A 4,307-nucleotide genomic window follows, 5' to 3' on the forward strand; every position below is an offset into this window, starting at 1 on the left:
TTCTCATCTTCTGCCCTTCAGAATCTTGGTCCTTATCAGAACTGAAAGTGATGCCTTCCTACTCCTGGGGTTGCTAGGACCATCTTTGGCACTCTCACATCAAAATGTATTCTTGAGGTTTTTGAGATATATCCCAAGTCTCTGCTCTCAGCAGCTCCAGCTGGAGTTTACAGAAAGTCAAATGTGAGGTTGGAGAGGTCGGTAGTTCGGAGATGAACAGAGTGAGGTGGATCCTGTACATCAGAATGAAAACAACTCTCAAAAGGTAATACAGAGATGGCTGCAGGCACCCAACCACTGAAGAGAGATACTTAATCAGATGTTCAGGGCAAAAACCAAAGTGTCCCAGAAATGAGCAGATCCTATACTTGCCGAAGTAAGTAAAGAAATTCTTGATCATCTTGCTGAGAGAACGCAACAGATGTGTTGTGTGGAGATGGTGCTGTATCCAGAGGCCATAAAGGACAATGGAAGGTGTGGGCCAACTTTTAGAGGAAATGGGGCTGACAGCAATGAGCAAGAGACAGGCTTCACAGGAAACGGCCCTTCACTGGAGGGTTTATGAGAGCCAAATCTAGCTGGATCAGGAATTTCTATCTGTGCCCTTCCTCAAATACTGCTTCTACACTCCATCCTGAACTGGCCCCATACCCTGCAGGCTGCTGTACTTGACCTCTAGATATATTCAGCTCTTCCTCTGACCTTTTAAGAACACCAACTGTAGTCCTGAAATAAGATTGAGTTTTGTCTATTTCTGCTGCCTTTAAAATATATATATTTGTAATCCCAGCACTTTGGAAGGCCGAGGTGGGTGGATCACTTGAAGTCAGGAGTTCGAGACCAGCCTGGCCAACATGGTAAAATCCCACCTCCACTAAAAATATAAAAATTACCCAGGCGTGGTGGTACGCCACTGTAGTCCCAGCTACTTGGGAGGCTGAGGTGGGAGGATCGCCTGAGCCTGGAAAGTGGAAGTTGCAGGGAGCCGAGACCGCACCACTGTACTCCAGCCTGGGTGACAGAGTGAGACTCCGTCTCAAAAAAAAAAAAAAAGCCATTTCAAAAGTTATCCTCATTGTGCTAATCTTGTTTCATCCGGCCCCTCCACATTGTTTTTTCTCCCTCCTAAATGCCTCACTCAGAGTCACCCTGTTAGAAGCACATATAAGATTGTAACTCAGGCCAAGTCAAAAAAAATTGTGTGCGACAAGGTACATATACACTTAACACTATTGTACTGTACACTTAAAATGGGTAAGATGATTAGTTTTATGGCAAATTTTTTTAAACCACAATGAGAAAAATTGTACAAGGTCCTTTTGAGAGATTAAAATTCAAGGAAAACAAACAAACAAAAAAGACCCTGAGTGAAAGCTACTTACCACTCTTTTTGGTACCTTCTCTGACCTCAGGAAGTTAAAAAAAAGATCAATAGGAAAATAGATAAGCAATTGAATATGTAAATATTTTCAGGCCAATATTTACATATTCAATTGCTTATCTATTTTCCTATTGATCTTTTTTTAACTTCCTGAGGTGAGAGAAGGTACCAAAAAGAGTGGTAAAGGCTAATATTCAATGAACCGCAACAACAAAAATCTGTATATCTACAACTCCACATTTTTTAAAAAGGTATGGGGGGAGAGCTGCATTTTTAAATATTGAACTTTAGGGCTTATAATTGAAAATATATTACCAATTCATGATATTTTATACCCTCATATACTTTTTTTTTGGTAGAGATGGTGGTGGCATCTTTTTAAAATATAATTTTAAGAAGGCAGTGATTTTCCAGGTAACTAAAGCACATGTCACAATTAAAACTGAGAAGCAGACATGTAGGCTTCTCTTAGGACTGTGATAAAATGTTTCATTTTATAAAATCAGCAGCCAGGATTGTTCTATTTGCTGTTCCCTCTACCTGCCCCTCCAGTTCTAGCTAAATCCCTTCTGTTCTCTCGTCTCAAATTTCTTCAGGTTCCTCACACAGCCCACTCCTTGTTAATGCTCCCACATCATAGCTTCATCTCCTTCATTCACTTACCACAGTTACCTTCTATTAAGATTTCATCCATCTAGAATATAAGCTCCGTACCAGGGCCAGGTCCTTGCCTCACCTTCTCTACTGCATCCCTACTGCCTAAAGCAATGTGGTGCTCCCTAGCTAGGTGCTTAAAAGGATTTCTGGCATGTGGAATCAATCACTGTTGGTTTGTTTTACACTCTTCCCTACTGTGCCATTCTTCACAAACCTTCCCTTTCTCTGCTTTCCAGGTTTCTTCTCTCGTACCAGCTCTACCCCATCTCTTCATTGATTTTAGTGCCCTGACATTTGATGATAAGTCACCAGAAATGTCTAAGAATGATGTATTGCCCCAGATACCATGGTTCTGTTCCCTTTTGCAAGGTTGGGATGGCAGATGGGAGCACAGCTAACTGCTAAGCATTTCACAACTCAAACTCAAGTCCTGAGGCACAATCTAAACATGTAAAAATAGACCTTTAAGTGTTTTATTAACAAGAACCCCATATAATGCCATTGGATGCCAACAAGGCAGTATTCTTAGGGAGCATTATATTCTGTCTTTGCCACCCCACTATCTTTATATGTTTAGTAAGGATGCAAATAATGTTAATACACTGTAGCACTCCTTACTGTGTCGATGCTATCTAAAGCTCAGGGGCAATTTAATAGCAGCCTCTACAGAACTTGGACAAAGAATACTTCATGCAGAATGGCTACCAGCTAATTACTACCTCCATGACAGAAAGCTCAACTGGAAATGGAAGAGGCCAAAATGACACTATAGAAATTTAGGCTTGAGAAAAAGAAGTATATCCTAAAAGTGAAAACCTAAAAAACAATGAATCTCTGAAACCACATGTAAAACCTTTTTGTTAGTAAGCTATAGTTTCTATTCCTTGAGATGTCTAGAAGTAATATTTAGACATACCTATTTGCAGGAATGAGTGAATCAGGCTAAATTGACATGTATCTTCCATACGAGTGAATGCAGCAGGGAGGACTTTGGTTTTCATTTCTTTTCTGTGTTAATTTTAAGCCATTTGTTGCTCAATGTCAGCACTGTGGCCATATGGGGTCAGAACACTCTTGGTTGGTGGGAAAGTTCCGGGGGGGCGGGGATCCTGCGCATCATAAGGCACTAGGGTATGTAGGCTCCATTACTGGCCTTCACTCACTACATGCCAGTAGCATCTCCCCTCCTCAACCAAAACCCAAAACAGTATGCAGACATTGCCAAATGCCCTCAGAGGGACAAAGTCACCCTCAGTTGAGAACCACTGCTTTAAGTCCCCAAACACGCCAATCTGTGCACCCATTCCTTCTTATCATCCTCCACCCAACAAAAGTCAAACTCACCAACCTATGAATTTGTTTTCGTACCAATAAATTTACTTCAATGAACAGTTATGCAACTTAAAAGAAACCATAAGCAGAATGGATAATCTGCTTCCAGGAGGGCACATAAGAGGCATTTAAGAAATGTTGGTTCCCACTTTCCCTTTCTGTTAAGGAATTCATAACTTCTGAAGCAAATACCTGTCCCTTCTAGGCACCTGATTTCAAAGGCATGCATATATATTTTGAATATGACATTATATTCAAAATAATATAACTAAAGGTTCTGATTCTCTTTACTTTCTCTCCATAAGAGGAATGCAATTCTTAATTCTTAGGAAGAGCAACTGAACTAAATAAATAAGTAGCACATTAAAGGAAATACTTTCTACACTTCGATGAATTCTTGCCAGGCATGGTCTTAAAAACACAGCACCTTCAACAATGGTGTCTAATAATAACACCCCATATACCCCACAGTACTTATAGCCTCCCACCCAAGTTTCTATGGTGATTCTTGAACTCAAATGGTTTGATTTCAAACTACTTAGTAATCTGAAGAAAATCCCTTTCTTCATTCCTTCAAGTATTTTTTTTTTTTTACATAATTTGTTGGGGGGAGTGAGATTAGGACCCTATAACTTTTAATAATAAATTTTCTTTCAAAGTTAAGGAATTTGGCTCAGGACCTTCTCAAGTTTTAATGGACTAAGGATAAGAATTCTAGACTGATTTTCTAAGACTTTTTTCCATTGTTATAATCAGGAAATACTAGATATTGTTCAAGTAGAGGCAGAGTGTAAGCATGCCACATAGTTGAGAAATCAGCAGCAAAATATTAATCACAGCTGAAACCTGACATACACTCTCCCATGTTCGTTAGGTACAATACATTCCGGTGATTAAAAATACATTCCATTTCCTCTACGTGCAAATTCAATCTGTC

General features: G+C 39.8%; 1 annotated feature.

The window, feature by feature from the left end:
• Positions 1,946-2,492: an enhancer, noted in NCBI's record as "NANOG hESC enhancer chrX:45645628-45646174 (GRCh37/hg19 assembly coordinates)". NCBI's record gives its function as "activates a minimal SCP1, AML or CMV promoter by ChIP-STARR-seq in naive H9 embryonic stem cells {active_cell/tissue: H9 hESC(naive)}" and the evidence as "EXISTENCE:reporter gene assay evidence [ECO:0000049][PMID:30033119]".

The sequence above is a fragment of the Homo sapiens genome, chromosome X (assembly GCF_000001405.40).
Source record: "Homo sapiens chromosome X, GRCh38.p14 Primary Assembly".
Lineage (NCBI taxonomy): Eukaryota > Metazoa > Chordata > Mammalia > Primates > Hominidae > Homo > Homo sapiens.